Raw genomic sequence first — 21,554 nt, 5'->3', positions numbered from 1 at the left:
TAATGCTTCAACAGAATCTTAAAGGAGGAGAAAGCAAAACACCAGGAGGACAATAGAAGGAGGTGGAGGAGAAGCTTATTTCAGCAGAAGGAAGAACATGGACCTGGTCCAAAGGGATAACCCAACAGGGCATAGTGTGCAAACTTCCAAGTAGCTCCAGATGGCTAGAGCTAGGCCAGCAGACACAAGGGCTTGACAACATGGAAGCAGTACAAGTTTATACTGAAGGGCCACTGAAGGATTTTCAGTAGGGGGTGACCATTCCTGTTTTAGGAAGATCCCTCTGGCCACAGTGAGGAAGATGGCCTGGAGCAGGAGAGAAAATAGGTGGGAGAGGTGGCAGTGTAGATAATAAGTAATGTGGCCCCACCCTGAGGAGTGATGGTGGTGCAGAGAGAGATTGACAGATCTTAGAGCACTTAAGAGGTAAAAATCTACAGAATGTAGAGAGATAAGGGTGTGGAGTGAGTCCCTAGCACAATGCCAAGTGAATCACTGAGGATACTCAGAAGCGTTGAATGAATGATGAATAGAATAATGGCAACAATAACAAAACACAGCATTTGGTGGAAGTTACTACATATTGAGCCCTTTGCCAAGAGCTTTGCCTTTATTATCTAATTTTATCTTCATGTCCATCCTTTAAGGAAGATATGCTTAATTTCCAGAAACTAAGACACATGGAAAGTGGATTACTTGCCCAGGCTCACCCAGCTAATCAAGAGAGGAGTCAGGATTGAAGGGGAGGTAATCAGCTCCAGAGTGCTATGCCCAAAGATGAAGGCTGGTTTTATAGTTTCTAGTAAATTGGAGTGATGAAAATGTTTGGATGGACTTAAAAAATATATTTTTTGAAAACTAATTTGAGGTGTGTGGGGGTGTCCAAGTAGAGCTGTCCAGATAGGCTGCCTAAAGCTCAAGAGAAATGTCAGGACAGGAATTATGAACAGGTGACCACATGGGTTATCATGAGAGTCATGGTATCATACACAAAACATCAACTGAGTGAAAAGACTAGATGACCAAGAGCAAACTCCTCGTGATCACTGATTTTAAAAAGTTGGACAGAGAAAGAGAGGCTGGAAAATAAAACATAGTGAACAGAGAGTTAAAAGTTTAACCAGCAGTGGTGTGGTAGGAATCATAGTAGACGATGTTTCCAGAAGGAGATGGTCAAAATCCACAACAGAGCAGAGTTGTCAAAAATAAAGACACAAATGCCTGCTGGATTCATCTTTTAGGAAGATGTTGGTAACTTAACTGAAGTAGATCCATTGTGTGATGATGGAGGGGACAGTAGATTACATTGGTTGACAGTGATACGTGATCAGGAAGTGAAAGCAGTGGGTAGAGATATGCTTTCTAAAAGTCCAGCAATGAAGAAAAGAGTGAGACAGGGGAGGCCTAAGGGGAGAGAGAGTCAAGGGAAGGATTTAAACAAGAGGCCAACTTGCTTAATTGTAACCTGCACAGACCTTAGGGGACTGAACAAAGGAGGATGAATGTGGGAATAAAGATAAGAGACAAAAAAATATGTTTGGAAGAAGGGGTCAGGGGGCACCTTGCCTCTAGTGGACAAGGGCCCTGAGCTTTACATAGCCCTCCATATTTATTGGTAAAAGAGATAGCGAGAAGGGGGGCGTGGAAGAAGAGGTCAGCTGCTCGGGTCCAGAGTAGGCTTGCAAGACTGCATTCCTCGAACAATAGGCTCTAGATGTCCCGGTAGATAACCTCAAGGTAAGTGTCAGTAAAGGAGAGCGTGAAGACAAGGGGCAAGAAGGTAGGACTACTACCACGGGGTCTTGGGGCTGTAACGGGTCTTCAAGAGCCATGACAAAGAGTGGAAGAGGAAGCCATTCAAGAACATAATAAAGGATTAGTGACTTATCTTGAAGCTGAAGCCATAAATATGTAACACCAGCACAATTACAAGATTTTCTCCAGCAGTTCCTGGCAGACCCTGTATAGCAGAGAAGACAGATGTTAGAGGGCTCCAGGGCCTGAGGTTGGCAGAAGACATAGGAAAGATAGTGGAGGGAGGGGTTTGCAGGGGTCTGTGAGAAAGGGAGCTGCCCTGCATGGGATCTGGGCAGGCAGGAAAGGAAGAGAAGTCCTAAGATATCCAGCTTGGGGAAAATAGCTTCAGGAAAAGAGCCAGGCCTCTCAACACTGCCGAGCTAGATGAGAAATAGCAAGTTGAGTGGAACTTTCCTCCTGACCTGGAATCACAGCTAAGGTCCAAAGCTAATGACTGAAAGCTCACAATAGTCCACAGTCAGAGTCACCGACAAGCTTCTAGCCATGATGCCAGCTACTACAGCACAACTTTCCAAGAGGTGTCAAAACTGGTCCCCTGCCCTTACCACTCCCCTGCCTCCCATTCAGTCAATATAAGAGAGGAAATCAATATAAAGAGAGGAAAAGAAGGACCCTTCAGCGTGACAAGAGTGACATGTAACACCTAAGCCCGAAAGACAAGGTTCAAGTCCTGGATCTGCCAACTTATAAACCGTGTGATGTAGGGCTATATATATCCACTCTAGTCCATAAAATGAGGCTAATGTCTACTCCAAATGGTTATCACAAGGATTAAATCAATTGAAATATTTAACATTCTTAGAACTGCACTATGTAAGTATTAGCTATTTTTCTTTTTTTTTTCTTTTTTTTTTTTTGAGACATAATCTCACTCTGTTGCCCAGGCTGGAGTGCAGTGGCACAATCTCAGCTCATTGCAACCTCCACTTCCTGGGTTCAAGCAATTCTCCCACCTCAGCCTCCCGAGTAGCTGAGACTACAGGCACGTGCACCACCACGCCTGGCTAATTTTTGTATTTTTAGTAGAGGGGGTTTTGCAATGTTGGCCAGGCTGGTCTCCAACTCCTGGCCTCAAGTGATCCTCCCGCCCTGGCCTCCCAAAGTTCTGGGATTACAGGCATGAGCTACTGCACCTGGCCAGTGGGTTTTTTAATGACATTAAATTTAATTCAAGGCAAATGGAAGACGCAAATCCATATACGTGTTTCTTTGCCTCCTTTCTCCTCCCCGCTCCTTTTTTTTTTAACAAGGGTTTTCTCTAATGACTATGTATCATGGGAGCAATTAAAACTGTACTACACATACACACACACAAACACACACACATATAAAAATTTGTACTTAGAATTGTTCAAATCCTTTGATGTACAAATTTCACATCACAGAGTGGAGTCTATCATAAGGAAAGTCCATTCCTAAATACAGACAGACAACCTTAACATGGAAAAAGATGTTTAGTGCAACATTTTTTTTTCTTTTGAGACCGAGTCTCAGTCTGTCACCCAGGCTGGAGTGCAGTGGTGCAATCTTGGCTCACTGCAACCTCCGCCTCCTGGGTTCAAGCAATTCTCCTGCCTCAGCCTCCCAAGTAGCTAGGACTTCAGGTGTGCATCACCACGCCCAGCTAACTTCTTTGTATTTTTGGTAGAGACAGGGTTTTACCATTTTGGCCAGCCTGGTCTTGAACTCCTGACCTCAAGTGATTCACCCACCTCAGCCTCCCAAAATGCTGAGATTACAGGCATGAGCCACCACATCTGGCCTATTAGCTACTTTTCTTATTCCCTCACATTCTCATGGGAAACTGATGAGGATGCTTTCCCTTTCTCAAAGCCAGTTCCGAGGGACTCCAAGAAAACCACTTGCAAAGACTAGAGTTGCCTTCAGTGAAGGAATACCATTCTCTATGGCCCTCAGAGGGTATGAAAGAAGACTCCAGTGGTTTCCCTGAGTCAACAAGAAGGTTCAGGTTGGGAGAGCAGCAGGAGAGGAGCCATGGCCTGTCCAGGCAGCTTCAAGGGTAAGGGAAATAGCACCAGGAAAAGAGGGTGGGATTATATACCACAGATGAGACCACAGGAAGACACAGGTGCCACACCAGCATCAGACAGAACCGGGGGGACCACAGCAAGACCAGGAACCCCCATACACCCTCTGCAGGTGGAAGACACATAGAACTAAGCCTCTCCACCTGTCCTTCCTGTGCCCAGCACCAAGGGAAGGAGCATCTGGAAGGGGGAGAGGGAGGAGGTGCACAGAGCCTGACCACAGCACCCTCTTCCGCTACCAGCAGCCAGGATCCCATCTCTGCCCATGCTGTTGAGGACAAACTGTCAATCAGGTTGGAAACTGATATTTTAAAAACAAAAAGCGGCCAGGTGCGGTGGGTCACACCTGTAATCCCAGCACACTGGGGAGGCGGAGGCAAGCGAATCACTTGAGGCCAGGAGTTCGAGACCAGCCTGGCCAACATGGTGAAACCCCATCTCTACTAAAAGTACAAAAATTAGCTGGACACGGTGGCACACACCTGTTGTCCCAGCTACTCAGGAGCCTGAGGCAGGAGAATCGCTTGAACCCGGGAGGCAGAGGTTGCAGTGAGCCAAGATGACACCATTGCACTCCAGCCTGGGTGACAGAGCAAGACTCACCTCAAAAAAAAAAAAAGGGGGACTAAGTCATACAGAAATAAAAAGGTTTTAAAACTTAACCATGACAGGAAATATATGGCCCTGGTCAAAGGATCCTCAAGAGTCCTACTCCACAGAAGGAGAGAAGAACTTGCTTCAGCACAGTGGAAAGCAGTGATTAGCAAAAATAAAACCAATTCCTATGTATGTGCAGAGCTGAGACCTCTCAATAAATAAGCCAAATATAAAAGATCTTCAGCCTGCAGGTTCTCCATGGCCACCCTCACCCAACCTGTTCCAGTGACCGAGCCCATCAGAAACTAGCCCCATGGGCACAGGCTCATTCCCTCCAGTGGCTGAGCTCTGCCATTCCTCCTGCCACCCAAAGCCTGGCATACCTGTGGCAAGCCTTGGGCAGGAGACCCACCTGAACCTGGCCCATGCATCCAGTATGCAGAATTAGCCTCCTGCCCTAGTTTCCTGATTATATCCCAGCTTCCCTCTGGAAAAGTCCTGGCCATTTGGCTAATGCCCTAACAACGACTCAGGCTTTCTCCAACCCTCTCTCCCTGAGAACTGAACTCTTCCTGTACTGGATCCCTCCCGATTGAAGTTTCTATTCTTCCACTTACAGCCATGGTGGCACTTCCTCTCCCAGTGGCTGCCCACCCCCCAATTATAACACCCCTGGGGTGTTTGGCCAAGGCCAAAGTCACAACAACCTCTTGGATATCCCACTAGAATTGCTGAAGACTCTTTACAGGAGAAGGCCCACAACCTGGCCTGACCTCTGTCTCCAGGCTCACCCTCCCTCCCGCCCAGCAGTTCTGGTACTTAACAGTCGAGACCACGTGGGTTATGATTGCATGGCGGGTTACAGATTGGAAAGTTGCTGCAATAGAACCAGAGGAATCGCTCAGGGCAGGAGCTCACAGGATGGAATTTAAGAACTCAGGTAAAAGCAGGTCTGGGTGATGCCAAAGGCTCCAGTCTGGCTACGGGATGGATGGATGCAATGGAGGAGGTGAAGGCCACCAGCATGGAGGAGGGCCATGAACTGAGACACTAAGGACTCACTTGCTGAGCCACTGATCCCCAAGACAGAGCCGATGTGTCACGGTAACATGGCTGGGAAGAGGATCATTTAATTTTGCCTCAGAGGAGGGAGACCAGAAAGGTGTACATGTGCTTTTTTTTGTTTTCTTTAACATTTTACTATGAAAGATTTTAAATACACCACAAAACCTCTGTAATGAACTGCCATGTCCCCATCACCCAGCTTCAACAGTTATTAAAGTTTTGCCCACCTTATAGTCCCCGGATCCCCTCCCTGGTGCCCCTCCACCTCCACCACCACCACTGGATTATTTTAAAGCAAACCACAGACATCGTATCATCTCATTTGTAAATACTGCAATGTGGATCTCTAGCAGATAAGCACTCTTTTTTAAAAAAATAACCAAGAAACAACAATCAAACCTAAAGAAATTAAAGAACGATTATTTAAAATCATCTAATATCCCATCTATGATCATGTTTCCACATTTAACTCATAAATGCCTTTTGGCAGATGGGTTGTTTGAATCCAGATGGAAATAAGGTTCACTTGTTCCATGGATTGATTTGTCCCTGTCCTACTTTGGTTTCCCCCAGAAACAGACCCTGGGGCAATGATTTCAGTGCAAATGGTTTAACTGGGAGGTGACCCCAGTGAAACTGGTAGGGGAGCCGGAAAGTGAGACAGTGGGAGGACCACCAACAAAGGGTTCGTTACTGCTGGGGGCAAATGAAGCTCAGTCTCTCTGGACAACTCTGGAAAACAGTGTGGGGCACCACTGAGAGTTTTCCCAACCCTGGGGGATAGAGGGAAGGAAGCTGGGGTATTTGTCCACCAGCTTTCCACCCATCTTTGGCTAAGCACTGCTTCCAGAGACATTAACTCTCTAGGCCATTAATTCTCGGGCACTCTGCTCCGCTTACCATGTGTAACCTTGGGGACAGAATAAATGCCCTAGGGGAAAGCGTCACAGGTGTTCCTGGCACACAGCCTCCAGCAAGCTATAGAGGTAGAAGTGGAGTGAAGGTAGGCAGAACATCAATTGCATCTGCCACAGTCCCTTCAAAGTTTCTTTCATTAACACCACTTCCCCCGTCTTTTTTTTTTCCATGTATTTACTGAAGAAATGTGGTGTGGCATCTTTTAGTATTTCCACATTCTAAATCCGATGGACTTCATTCCCATAGTGTTGTTTGATATGAACCCCTTATCGTCCATACCTTCCTTTTTTTTTTTTTTTTTTTTTTTTGAGAGGGAGTCTTGCTCTGTCACCAGGCTGCAGTACAGTGGCGATCTTGGCTCACTGCAACCTCCGATTCCCAGGTTCAAGCAATTCTCCTGCCTCAGCCTCCCGAGTAGCTGGGATTACAGGCGCATGCCACCACACCCAGCTAATTTTTGTATTTTTAGTAGAGACGGGGTTTCACCATGTTGGCCAGGATGGTCTTGATCTCCTGACCTCGTGATCTGCCGGCCTAGGCCTCCCAAAGTGCTGGGGTTACAGGCGTGAGCCACCAAGCCTGGCCTGTACTTTCTATAAATAGTTGGAAGATTGATCAGATCGCAATTCTATTTTTTGGCAAGAAACCTACAGGTAAGTCTGTGTCCTTCCTATACCACCACATAGGAAGTATGGGCTTCTAACAACTAAAGGTTTGCCCGGCTTGAAAGAAGCTTAAGCCCCCTCTCATTGGTTGGTTATGTTGCTTGATTCAGCATATTCCCAAGCCGACCAACTTCTTCCACATGCCATGGAAGCTGGACAAACACAAAGTGAACAAGTCAGGCTCTGTGTGACTCAAAGGCCTTGCCAGCAGATTTGAAGCAGGGTTTGCTTGTGACTTGGAACAAACATCTGAAGATGGCATCGATTCTTCCACTCCTTACAGCACCTTTCAAACACCAAGCCCCTTCTGAAACCAACTTGCACACCAGAACAGTGCAAGACCACGTGAATTTCTGACTTTGAATGTCAGATGTGTGAATCTATTTACACTTTAGCTACCACGAATTCCAAAGCAGAGAGGTGTTCAGATCCTCTAAATCTTATCCATACCACTTCACAAGAAAAGTCTGCCTTACTGCACTGTAATGCAGACAGTGCAGGCAAAAAAAGAAAGCCAAGACTCTTGAGGGAATGCTAACATTAAATTCAGAGGACAATTCAGTCCAATGAAGTATTTCATACAACACTGACATGTTGAAGTTCTTTAGCCATTGGTATTTAGGAAAGAGCTTCATTGCATTTTGGTTAATTTTCCAAGGTCCTTTCCACTTGCCTCCAATCAAGCTTTTTGCAGAATGGAGTCCGCACTGTCCAATTCACTCATGCAAGAGACACTTACTGACCAGGTGAGCTTAGGGACTCTGTCTCCAAAACACACATAAGGACTTCTAATGTCTTACTTTTCTCTGTACCCACAGGATTCTCGGACTCTCCCCAGCACACATTAGACATTAGACCTTAGGTCTTTGTCAATCATCACTCCTTGCTAATACAAGGCTTCCCACTTTTCACCATGAAGATCTGTACCTTCTTTCAGTGCTTCTGTGCTGATGAGAATGGCTTTTCCAAGTTTACTGTTCTTCCCCAACCACTCCCCCTTAACATTTTCCCATTTATTACCTGTTGGGAGGTCCAGGTAAGGCACCTATTAGCTTGATTGCATATTATCCCAGCAAAGATTCCATCCATTCATTCATCTTCTGATTTAAGAGAGTCCTCAATGTTTATGACACTGCTCATTGGGAAAATGGTCTTATTCACTTAAAAGCTCCTGTAATTAAAAGTGAACAAATTCCAAAGGATGATATTGCCCTTGTGAGAGCTTGGTCTGTTTTCCCTGATGTGCAGGTGCTATCCTGCCCAGATAGAAAGCCAGTGACCACCGTCATATACTGTGCCAGGCTGAACTAGGTTGTAGGGGGGCCAACTGTGACATCACGGAGGCAACACATCACTTCAGGGCCAAGAAAATGAGCACTCAATTCCTGTTTGTCTTCAGAGCACCCTCTGCCCTTGGTGGATATTTCAGACTCACAAATAACATTTCCTACCCATGACATTTACCAGAAAAAACAAATTGTAATCTGGCCACCTTGGCTTCCTCTCTGAGAGGAGGCTGAGTCCTCCTGATGAGCCCTCAGTGTCCCTCTGGCATTTACCCACCAGTGACTGGCATATAAGAAGTCACTGGGACAATGCAGTGTGTAAGAGCAAAACCTCTGCTAATGAGGGTCAGCGGAAAAAAAAAAAAAAAAAACGCAAAATCACTAAAGGGGCAGTGTTAACACAATCCCACAGCAGAAAGAAGCCAGCTTAGACCCACAGAGAAGGGGAGTCCAGACGCCAAGAGCGGAGACCCCTAAGGGGCCCCAACCTCATCCATCCCCCTGAGGTTGGTTCCCACACAAGGTCAACAACCTTCTCCCAATCTCTTAGCTGGCCTCTGTGGGCCATACAACTCTGTCACCAACGATGTGATTCCCCCTGCCTGGCAAAAATGCCCAGGCCACAGAGACAGTATTTGGTTCCCTTTTATCTATCTATTGATCTATCAAACATCAATTTATAATCTATCATCTATCTGTCATCTATCTATCATCTATCAATCATCTATCTATTATCTATCTATCTATTATCTATCTATCTATCTATCTATCTATCTATCTATCTATCTATCTATCTATCGGCTTCTGACAATTCCTACTAAACTGCACCAACAATAAGCACAAACCTGTCCCACAGGCTGTTCTCTATTCCCTAAATAGGTCTAACTTCCCCACTTGCTTTCACCTGGAAAGGGCATTTTGGTTCAGCCTCTTCCTTTTAAATAGAGATAGAGGCCCAGAGGGGTTAGTGACTTTCCCAAGATCACAAAGCAGAAGCAGGCTGAAATCCAAAAGCACTGTGCCCTAGGGACACTGGACTATTTAATACGAAAGGATCTTTACATTTTTAGTTATAGGAGAATAATGTCGTTTGCAAATACATAAACCTGCCCTTGGGCTGTCAAATGCTGGCTATGGATGGGGTAACAGTTCCCACGGGAGGTGGGGTGGTTAGGGAGAGTCGTTACCCCCATCAAAGGAAGCAGTAAAGATTCTGGAAAAGCAAACTGGATGAGGGTGGAAACAGGAAATGGGACCAGGATGGAGAAGTGGAGGGTCACAGCAGTTTTTCCTGTATCACGGAAATTTGAGGTGGTTTTTACCTTCTTCCTTTAGCTTTATGGTGCAGCTTGAGTTTTCTTCACGTGTAGGTATTCACTGACATGATTAGGAAAAGCAGATCAATGAGCATGATTCCCAGAGTCAAACCCAAGAACCAGCCTCATAACCTGGGAGTCACAAAAGATGTAACACCTGCCCGTCAGAATGCCGTCAGAAGAAACGAAGCCTTCCATAAACTGAAAAGCAGATGGCTATCTATTACAAGGCACCCATTCTGCTACACAAGTTAAGCTGCTATGAGCTGCTAGCACAAGCAATGCTGGACTCTCAGGACCCCCATTCAACCCTGATGCACAGCATCATAGCTTCAGAACTATCCAGGATCTTTGTCCAAAAGCCAACATGGTCTTCTGGGTCAGGGAGACAGATCAGCAACGGTGCCTGGATGCTCACTTAAGTCCCCATGAAAACTAATAAAAATGGAGGAAAGGGGTAGCAAGAGTTATGAAAAATAAAAAGTTGACCATATGCCCAAATCAGAAGGATCTTCTACTGACAGGAAGAGATTCAGATGTATAGTCAGTGGCTAGTGAACATCAGCCACAAAACCCAAAGTGGCTGCAGAGGCAGCTGGGCAGGGGGTGACAACTGTGCCACATGGAAGGGAGCACACCCTCCTGAAGCAGATTTGTGTACTTATCATACAATTTTCCAGCAGGCGGCTGTCAAATCACCAGCTCTAACCAATTCAGGATAGGAGAGTTTTCCCCCGCATGAAAGTAAAGTGTGTCGAGGAAGAGGCGTATTTTTCTAACTCATACAAAGAGCACCATGTGGGCTAACAGTGACCCACGGACACCCTGACTCCACGGACTGCTCCTCCACAAAAGCCTCAAGGAATCCCATCCAAACCACATAAGCACTCCCAGGTCAAGTCTCTTGGTCTCCTCAATAACTTTAGTTCTGCATTCATCACACATCTGCAGCTCCTAGGCAAGAACTCAGCCTGGTGCACAGATGCCCAGGCTAACTGCATTCTGAGGCATGCAACCTCCTCACCTGGGAGCAGCGCCTGCAGGCAGGTGTATGCATCCATGAAAGACTGGTTAGAGCTGGCCTCAGGTTCTGCAGGACCCACATCCATTTTTTTCATTTGTCAGAAACGGATAGTGAGAGAAGAGGCTGGGCACAGTGGCTCACACCTGTAATCCCAGCACTCTGGGAGGCCGAGGCAGGCGGATCACGAGGTCAGGAGATCGAGACCATATTGGCCAACATGGTGAAACCCATCTCTACTAAAATACAAAAAAAAATTAGACGGGCTTGGTGGCATGTGCCTGTAATCCCAGCTACTCGGGAGGCTGAGGCAGGGGAATCACTTGAACCCAGGAGGCGAAGGTTGCAGTGAGCTGAGATCGCGCCACTGCACTCCAGCCAGGCGACAGAGCAAGACTCCGTCTCAGGAAAAAAAAAAAAAGAAAAGAAAAAGAAAAGAAAATTAAAAAAAGAAAGAAAAAAAAATGGATAGTGAGAGAAGAGAAAAACTATGTCAGCCAAAAAGAGCTTCCTGGGATGGGGCCACAGACTAGGAATGTCCCATTGGTGGTGCCACCAGCTCAGCCCCTGGCCTCAGATATGAGAAGGCATTGTGCCAGGGTCAGTGGTACACTGCAAATGGCCAGTGTATCACATCTGTGTGCCAACACTAGGTCTATTCACAGATAAGGAAGGAGAAACACAACAGTCTGATGCCTATGACCAGAATTTGAAGCACAAGAGGACAGAAACCGTTCCTCAAAAAAAAGAGCAAAAACATTCTTGCACATAGATTTATTGCAGGAAAGTATAGAAACTTCTTTGGGTTCACAACAGAAAATAAGGGCACATTCCCCCAAAATAGTCCACATACCAAACAGAAGAGGCAAATATATCAAACAGTAAACAGACGGAAAAAAGAGACTGCAGAGAAAATAAAAACATGGTACCCAAATTATAAGACATGCAAGGCACAGAGGAACATACTGAAGAAGAACAAGAGGAAACAATCAGGCCAAGCCAAAAGATGGGACGACTGAACTAGTCATGTTATCAAATTGATGTCATTGCAGGAAAAGAACAAGAAGGAACAAGAAAGATAAAAAAAAAAAAAAAACAGGTAAACCGGTTAAAAATTCTTCAAGATTAAAACATTTAAGAATAACCCAGCAATTCCACTCAGGGTATATACCCCAAATAATTGAAAATATGATGCAAATACTTGCACATGAGTATTGTATGGACTGAATGTTTATGTCCTCCCAAATTCATTTGTTGAAGCTCTAACTCCTAATGTGGTTGTATTTGGAAGCAGGGCTTTGGGGAGGTTATCAGGTTTAGAAGAGGGACAAGTGTAGGGACCCCATGATGGGGCCGGTGTGCTTATAAAGAAGAGGAAGAGAGGCCAGAGTGCTCTCTCTCTCTCTCTCTGCCATGTGAAGACACAGGGAGAAGGTAGCCATCTGCAAGCCAGGAAGCGGGCCCTTTCCAAGAGCCAAATTTTCCAGTGCCTTGATCTTGGACTTCCCAGCCTCCATAACTGAAAAATAAACATCTGTTATTTAAGCCACCCAGTTTCCAGTATTTTGTTATAGCAGTCTGAGCTGACTAGGGTAAGTATTCATTGCAACACTATTCCCAATAACCAAAAGGGAGAAAAACCCAAATGTCCACAAAGGATAAATGAATAGACAAATTATGGTATATTTATACAATGGAATATTATACAGCCATGAAAAGGAATAAAGTACTGATACATGCTACAATATGGATGAATATCAAAAACACTGTGCTAAGTAAAAGAAGCAAAACACAAAAGGTCACATATTGTACAATTCCATTCATATAAAATATCCAGAATAAGTAAATCCACAGAGGCAGAGGATAATTAGTGATTCCCAGGAGATGGGTGGGGTGGGAAATGAGGAGTAACTGCTTAAAGGGTATGAGGTTTTACTTTGGGGTGATGAAAATGTTTTGGAACTAGATAGAGATGATCATTGTACAACACTGTGACTACTAAATGCCACTGAATTATTCATCTTAAAATGGCTAACTTTATGTTATGTAAATTTGAATTTAAAAAAAAGCAGTATAAGAGACATAACTATCAAATACAATGTATGGTCTTTGGTTAGATCCAGATTCATACAGGCTGGCCATAAAAGACATTTGGAGAATATTAGAGAAATTTGAATATAGGCTGGGCATTGGAGGACATAAAAAATCATTGTTAGATGTGATAGTGGTAGCATGGTTAGAGAAAGGCCTAAGAGAAAGGCCCTTATTTTTCAGATGTGCATACTGAAGTATTGGGAATGAAATGTTACGTGGTCTGTTAAAATGCTTCAGGAATAAAACAAGATAAACCAAAGATGGCAAAATGTTAATACCTGTTAATCTATGTGATGGGGTAGAGGTATTCATAGTATTTTTCTCTTTAGTTTTCTGTATGTATAAAATTCCTCATAATAGAAATTTAAAAAAACAAATCCACATGGTAGGCAGTAAAAAGTAAACTTCCGGCCAGGCATGGTGGCTCATGCCTGTAATCTCAGCACTCTGGGAGGCCAAGGCGGGAGGATGGCTTGAGCCCAGGAGTTCGAGACCAGCCTGGACAACATAGGGAGACCCTGACTCTATAAAAAAAAAATGCCAACAAAAACCAAACTAGCTAGGTGTGGTGGCATACGCCTGTAGTTCCAGCGACTTGGGAGGCTGAGGCAGGAGGATTGCTTGAGCCTGGAAGGTGGATGCTGCAGGGAGCCATGATCATGCTGCTGTACTCTAGCCTGGGCAACAGAGCAAGACCCCACCTCAAAAAAATAAATGAATAAATAAACTTCACACACTTTACAATGCTAAAAAATGCAGCCAATGGAAAAAGAGGAGAAATACTTCAAAAATGGAGCAAAAAATTACCTAAAAACAAAAATCATCGCAAAGAACACAACACTTTTTCATTATTCTTCCCCAGACTTGTTGAGGCACCTACATTAATATATGAAGGAACACAGAAGAAACATCCAACCCATGTAAAACTATTTCATCCCAAAATAAAACCCACACAAATAGTATCCAAACAATAAATAAGCACTTACCAGAAAAAAACACTTTCCTCAGTTGAAAACAGATTTCAGTTTGCATGGTTCATCATATATTAAGCAAAATTAATGGAAAGAGATTCACTGATAGACATGTTCTGGTGACATTTTTTAGTCTCAAGGACACATAAAGAGTCATCAGAATTCAAAGGTGAGAAAATAGGAGACAGAGAGATTATCTGCAAGGGAATACAAATCAGGATGGCCTCAATATTTACCCCCAACAGGAGGTTTTGGAAGATAATGCATCAATATCTACATTTTAATATTTAAACACTTGTGACTTTAAAACTACTAAATTAAGACACATTGTTGTTCGCAACAGAAGGCAACCAAAAAAAATGTTTTAAATATGCAAAGTCTCAGAAAACATATGGTGTATGCTTCTTGAAGAACGTATTTGAAAATGTGCTTCATGTCAGAGAGAGCTGGAAAACCTAAGAACTCAAAATGGCAAAGTGAGCATCAACTAAGTTTAATATAAATGCATGCATAATTCATAACAGGATTATGAAGAGAGACACAAAAGAAAATCACTGAGGTTATTTGTGAAATGCTGACTTGAATAGTTCTAGATTAGATTGCCAAATGTCTCAGGAAATAGAAGAAAAGAAAAGAGATACAAAAAAACAACCAAAATAAAGAAATGTGGGATTGTCTATCAGGGAGAGTGAAAAAAAAAACTATTTTTACTGACTTCAGCAATTTCATAAATATAGATTTAATATGGATTTTTTAAAAACTTAATAGGATCCACTACTAGAATTAGAAATGGCATAACTATGATCCAAACAAAAGTACAAGATAAAAGTAAATGTAATGATAATGTAAAGACAGGACTGAAAGCAAAAAACAAGGAAAACGAAATGGCAGATGACCAGACATACCACTGTGTCAATAGTACGATTTCCTCAATAAATAATAGGCAAAGACAATCAAAATTGGTTCAAACATAAATTACCTGCTTCTTAAAAACCCTTTAAAGTAACACCATAGTATTACACCAAAAGATGAGGGCAAATGTGAGGAAAAAATTAAATTGGGGGTAATATTTGTATCATTCTGAGTATAAGAAGAAGGCAGAAAATGGGATTAAAGAGGGTCATTTGAGATTGCTGAAAGATACAATCAGTAGTGGAGCCTCGTAAACACTGAAGCTTTTGCATCAAGATATAGTAAGCCATTAAAACACAGAAAGATGACAATAGGCTCTTGATTCAAAACACAGATCTCAGTTCTTTTCTCTCTAGCACCAACATTCTCCCTGGAATGGCCATAGGACTATAAAACTGAGAAGTATCTAGATCAGCTTTACAAACTAGGACAACTCCCAACTTCCTGGCAGCAGCTTTGAGAAATTTCTGAAATTCTTAGGAATTCCTAAGGCAAGGATGGATTGATCTCACTGGTCAGACTGGCACACACAGTAGGACATAAAAAGGGCCATGGGGATGGGAATCCTACAGATGCCCCTACCAACAGCACTTGTGGTAGTTACTGATGAGGGTAATGCGACTTCTCTAACTTTGGGCAGACCCACAGAAAGAAAAGGAACTCTTGGCATAGCAAGGAAAGAAGCCCTACCAGAGATTTCCCCTTGCTGCATCCATTAATTTCTATGAATATTGAGTGTCTACTGTGTGACAAGTACTGGGGCTGGGAACACAACAGTAAACAAATCACACAGGAAGCCGTCCTCATGATGACCGTGCTATCTAATACATAGCCACTGGCCACATGTGGTCATTTAAATTTATGTTTTAATTAATTAATAAAAATTAATTAAAAGTAAATAAAAGTTTAGAAATCCATCTCACTTGCACTAGCCACATTTCAAATGCTCAGTAGTCATGCATGGTGAGTGGCTATCATACCAGGCAGCTCAGATCCAAGAACATTTCCATCAGCACAGAAAGTTTGCACTGGGCCGCACTGGTCTAGAGCAAGGCCCTCCATTTGCAACCTTCCTTTCAGAAAGCTAAACTATCAATCTGAAGCTCTCCCTTCTCACCCTGTCTGGGCTGACAACAGACTATATCTCACCTGCTGAAACTAGACACACTAGAGCCACTTTCTTTGAAGAGCATAGGAGAAAATAATCCAACATATGAAGAAACTCAGTCATTTAAAATAAGAGAACCAATTGGAGAAATCAAAGTAAGTATGACCATAAGAAACAAACTCACAGAAGGCAAGGGAAGGAAAAGTCAAAACAGTGCACTGATTCTGATTTCCAGGTTGGATTCTTGATGGCATTGCCCCCTGGAAGAAGGACAAATTGAGATCAAGATTTCTATTCCTAGAACGGAACTGTTCACATTAAAAATGGTATAGCATAGAAAAACTAGCTTGCGTATCAAAGGAAACCAAATGAGAGACTTAGAAAACAAACTTAAGAAAATTCTCTCAAAACTTAAGAAGGCTCAGCCGAGCGCGGTGCCTCATGCTTGTAATTCCAGCACTCTGGGAAGCTGAGGTGGGTGGATCACCTGAGGTTAGGAGTTCAAGACCACCCTGGCCATGATGAAAACTCGCCTCTACTAAAAATACAAAAAGTTAGCCGGGTGTGGTGGTGCGCGCCTGTAATCCCAGCTACTCCGGAGGCTGAGGCAGGAGAATCGCTTGAACCTGGGAGGTGGAGGCTGCAGTGAGCCGAGATCACGCCATTGCACTCCAGCCTGGGCAACAAGAGCGACACTTTGAATCAAAAAAAAAAAAACTTAAGAAGGCTCAACAGACTAATATGCTTGTAGAAAGAAAAGAGATTTGGAAAACAAACCCTAAGGAGGCAGTATACATTAATAACAAGATTTCCACCGGTATAGAAAAGAACAGAATATATAAAAAGTAAAGCCTACTTTATATCCCAAAAAATGGATTTAATTTGTGACAAAAACTGCAAACTGTAAAACAATACACAAAAAAGCTTGCAACAACCACAAAGGATCAGCTAAATAAACCATTACAAGATATATGATGATGGATTAATATATTTCATATATAAAGGTAAATTTGAAAATGACAATTTAAAAATGGAAAATATCAAAAGGCAATTCACAAAAGAAATGCAAATGATCAGCACATATGTAAAATCAATATATACAAATTTTTTAATAGATCACAAGAGCAAACATTTCAAATGAATGGCAAGACCCAGTGTTGGCAAGGAAATGGCAAACAGGTTATCTGACAGAACACTATTGCTGAGAGGACAAATTGCTCATCTTTCTGTTAAGTAATAAATTGGAAATGACTCCCCCCTCTTTAGTGCCATCTTCTTTTAATAAGAAAATTTAAAATGACTCCTTCCCACAACAGATTTCAATGCCTCTCTAGTGGTTTTTTGTAATATTTGCCTTTCAAGTAGAACTGTCTCCAGTAGAAAATATTAACTCCAAGAGCACAGCCTCTTGGAGAGAGAAATAGCAAGAGTAGCTTTCTTTCAATGCAACCCAAATTACATATTTCTCTGCACATGTCAAAAGAGGTGTTTTGTCAGGGGAAAAAAACGATCAATCCTTTAGTCTCTAAAAACCTTTGTACAGGGTTAGGGAATGAAGTTCTGCCATCATAATGCACCACTGTGCTCTTTCAGATATATGATTAAAGATTGCATTGTTTCCTTTTGCCAACCTGAAATTTCAGCTCTTAAGAAATATTTTTGCCTGCTTTAATGTAACTCAAGTCAAGTACAAATAAAGTAAGCCATTTCTGAGGAGAACCAAACCAAACCAGCAGGGAGAAGTAGCAATTTAAATGCAGCTCCACCTCAATAAAACAAAGCTGACAAATTACTAGAAATCCATTGCCCACCTAACGTCCTAGTGTCAAATCTCCTGATTCCTAAAGCCATCTGTTGGAAAACAATTTCAGCAAATAATTATTTCAGCATGTTTCCGCTCCCTGTGACAGGAATTATTTCTCTTTTTTTTTTTTTTTTTTGAGACAGAATGTCTCTCTATCCCCCAGGCTGGAGTGCAGTGGCAGGATCTCGGCTCACAGAAACCTCCGCCTCCCGGGTTCAAGCGATTCTCCTGCTTCAGCCTCCCGACTAGCTGGGAATATAGGTGGCTGCCACCACGCCCGCTAATTTTTGTATTTTCAGTAGAGAGGAAGTTTCGCCATGTTGGCCAGCCTGGTCTCGAACTCCTAACCTCAGGTGATCCGCCCGCCTCGGCCTCCCAAAGTGCTGGGATTACAGGTGTGAGCCACCGTGCACAGCCAGGAATTATTTCTCTTAATCCAAAAAGAACAAACAGGCACCAGGCAAGAAGGCAGGCACCAATAAATGTACAGCTACCCCTCGGTATCCATGGGGGAATGGTTCCAGGACTCCCATGGGATACACAAATCCTTGAATGGTCAAGCCTCTGATGTAAAATGGAGTCATATTTGCATATAATCTATGCACATTTTTGCATATACAGCACTTTAAATTGTCTCCAGATTACTTATAATAGCTAATATAATGTAAATGCTAAATAAATAGTTGTTATTCTGTATTGTTTAGGGAATGATGACAAGAAAAAGTCTGCACATGTTCAATCCAGATGTTTTGGTGTTTTTCTCAAATTTTTCTGACCTTCTTTTGGTTGACTCCACAAATGTGGAACCCATGGATACTAAGGGCTGGCTGAACTTCCAAGCTGTATTCTACCTCAGCCACCGTGAGAGACACAGAGCAGAGGGGAGGCCCGAGCCTTGCAATCCTCCCAGGCTCATGCTGGCCCCACAAGGTAACAACTGTGTGATTTGAAAAGAGTTGCATAATGTCTGCATGCCTCAGTTTTCTCATCTGTGAAATTGGGATGGCGGCATCTTCTTCATAAACTGTGAGAACTTTAAAAAACCTGTAAAGTATGCTGGGTACAGGGTTGCTATTTTATTTTTAGAACAAACAGTGATAAAAACTGAGTTTTGCCATTATTTATTATAACAGTGTAGAAATATGAATTTATATCAACAGACTCCAAAGGAACAAAAAGATAAAAGTAATAATTGAAGGGTGATAGAGTTAAAGAGGATTTTTTTAACCCTAAAACAGATTGCGTTTTTGTTGTAACAGTTTTCAAATAAATAAAAATTGGGGAAATAATCTGATGCCCAAAGAAACAACTAATTAGTTTCCATCCAAAAAATCTTCATCTTATGTCACAGTAAACATGGTGAATTTTATTACACTGAAAAAGAACCTGAAGAAACTCAATGAATAATCACAAAATAATAAAAGTTAGCATTTATTTAGCAATTACGACATGGCAAGCATTCTACCAAGTGCCTTACACATATCAGTTCAATTCATTCCCATCACAAGTCTGGGAAGGAGGTATTATTATTATCTTCATTTTACAGATGAGGAAACTCAGGCATAATAAGTAGTGTGGCCAAGATCACAGAGCTGGTAGGTGGCAGAGACAGCCTTCCACCTTAGACAGGAGAGCAGATGCTGTCAGTGCCCCACTGATGGCCCCGAGGACTCAATTCTACAAGATCAAGTCTGTTACCACAAACACCTGCAACCTTCAGTCTGGAGGCCTTTTTACCCCCAACCAAAGGAACATTAGCCCATGTGCCAGGCAAATTGGAAGTGCCAGGGACTTAACGTCCCAGAAACAGTCCTCAGCCAATGATGGGCAGGGCAGTTGGTAGATAAATCCCCCAGCTTCCTGCCTTTGCTGGGATAACTCTCAGGTGGCTTCTATGCTGTCTGTGAGAGTTCCCTAGGAAGAATGAGCTCCAGTTACCATCCATGGTAACTAACTTGATTAATAGTGCACCTTGATTGGCTTCCATCTCCTCCCCGTCACTCTCCCTACTCACCAGCTAGTTTTCCCGGGATCACTGCAAGAACAACAACATCAACACCACACACACACACACACACATGCACACGCTCTACCTCTACACAAATCGAGGTCTGCTTACAGTGGAGTGCCAACCAAGAAAGCAAGCTACGCAGCCCAGATATACTAACCCACACTCTAACCATCAGGCTATACCTACTGTATGAATGAAACAACAGGGGATTCCCCCTTCAGAGTCAATCCCAAATATACTCAGCCTTTGAAGGCTGAAAATACGCACCTGGCCCTTACATCATAAATTAAGTGCAGACCTTAGTACATGCCGTACGACGGAAATGTGTGATATCATGGAGGGGTAGAGAGGATTTGAGAGACATAAGTCATCACCCAAGCAGGCGTTCTGCTCCCCAGGAACCCAGAGAAGAGTAGAAAGAGGACATTTCTAAAGGCAGTTGGTTTATAAGGATGAAGCTTATAACATTTGGTTTTAAGAAGCAGAATTTCATTTTCTGTTCCAGGCAGGAGGTCAGTGGAGAAAGTTATCAGCTAGCATTTATTACACGTTTATTATGGGCCAAGCCCTGTGCTGAGCACCTCATGTGCATTAGCTCATTTAATCCCCAAAGTTGAGTCCACCGTGTTGGAGCTGCTCTTTACCCTAGTATACGGAAGAGGAGAGTGAGGCTTACATAGGATATGTGACTCGTTCACCATCACACAGCTACCAAAATGGCTGAGCTGCGACTCCAGCCAGGTCTCTCTGATTCTGAACTCAACTCTTAACCAGTATACTAAATGATTACTATACTAAAGCTCCCATTAATTAAACCATATATCATATATAAAGCACTTGAGATACATAATTTCTAAGCTTCAGCACAACATTACAAGTTAGAATTGAGCCAAATAATTTGTAAGCGGCACAAACCCATCAGCCCTTTGAGGTATTAACTCCAATTTGCAGATAAGGAAACTGAAGCACTGAAAGACATTTCCCCAAAGTCCCCAGCAAGTGCCAGTGCAGACAGCCAACCAGACTCAGCTCTCCCTATCTGGCTGGGGCTTCCAGTTCCACTGTGCTCTTCATATTACCTGAAGAAAGACACTATCTCCTCCTCTGCAATCCTTGCTGAATCCCAAATCTCTGTGCTTAGATGTAACTATGACTCATGTACACCTTCTACCTGCTCAGAGGAAATCTAACAGTTGCCCTCCCGTAGGTTAAGCCCCTGCAATGATCTGCAAGTTCCCCTAAAGTCTGGTCTTCTCAGAATGACTAGACCCTGTCCCTTCAGCTTTCGGTTTAATGAACTGGCCCTCACTGTCTGTTCATTCCCTGGGACCCATGCCATCTCCCTCACCCACCTCACATCCACATACTCTCACTGCTGAAAGTGTCCCCAAAGAGGCCTAAGTGAGCAAATCCATGGCCCTATCAAAATAAAAGCATCTCATGGATTATATCCTCTTTTACCTAAGTCTATGGGGCTTTTCATTCTCAGAGAAGTAAATCAAATAAATCCAGTAATATTTGTTCCCGCAAAATCTATGCGGTCTTCTGATAGTACACTCCTTATTTTGATGACAAACTCCAAAGAATTTTTCAATTAGGACAATTTTGGCTGATTTACATTCCCAAAGAACCCCCTCTAAGTCTCCTAAGGAGAATAAATGCCCCACATTTCTTTAAGTATGCATGTCTGGCAAATCAAAAGGGTACCATCTGGTTCACATAATTTCTGCATAGAATTTCTGAAAAGCCTATAGAACATATATGGTCCACGCCTGCTCCAATAGACGCCAAAACATTCCATTACTATTGTACAAACTGACTGAAGTTAACCGAGGCTAAAACTGGCCACAGTCCTTTTAAAAGAATATGATGATGATCAATTAATTCCCTCAGAACACAGCTCACAAATTATAATCTACA

The 21,554-nt window shown here is 43.0% G+C and overlaps 1 protein-coding gene across 23 annotated transcripts in view; it reads right to left on the bottom strand.

The window, feature by feature from the left end:
* SH3GL3 (SH3 domain containing GRB2 like 3, endophilin A3) overlaps nt 1–21,554 on the bottom strand; it is a 186,480-nt gene that overhangs the window by 134,787 nt on the left and 30,139 nt on the right. For 11 of the 23 annotated variants that reach the window (XR_007064483.1, XR_007064484.1, NR_136711.2 and 8 more), the window contains exon 2: nt 8,132–8,282. The exons of 9 other annotated variants lie outside the window; for them this stretch is intronic. Coding sequence is in view for 5 of the 14 variants with exons in the window: in NM_001324183.2 (NP_001311112.1) it covers nt 8,132–8,200 (69 nt within the window). In the remaining 9 variants the exon portion in view is untranslated. Of the gene's footprint in view, nt 1–8,131; nt 8,421–9,719; nt 9,846–10,737; nt 10,974–21,554 lie in introns of those variants that run through there. 3 more of the 23 variants (NM_001301109.2, XM_011521889.2, NM_001324187.1) reach the window with 3 other exon arrangements.

Source organism: Homo sapiens, chromosome 15 (assembly GCF_000001405.40).
Source record: "Homo sapiens chromosome 15, GRCh38.p14 Primary Assembly".
In the NCBI taxonomy this organism is placed as follows: Eukaryota; Metazoa; Chordata; class Mammalia; order Primates; family Hominidae; genus Homo; species Homo sapiens.
The sequence above is the reverse complement of the archived record's forward strand: the minus strand, read 5'-3'. Positions and strand labels throughout refer to the sequence as shown.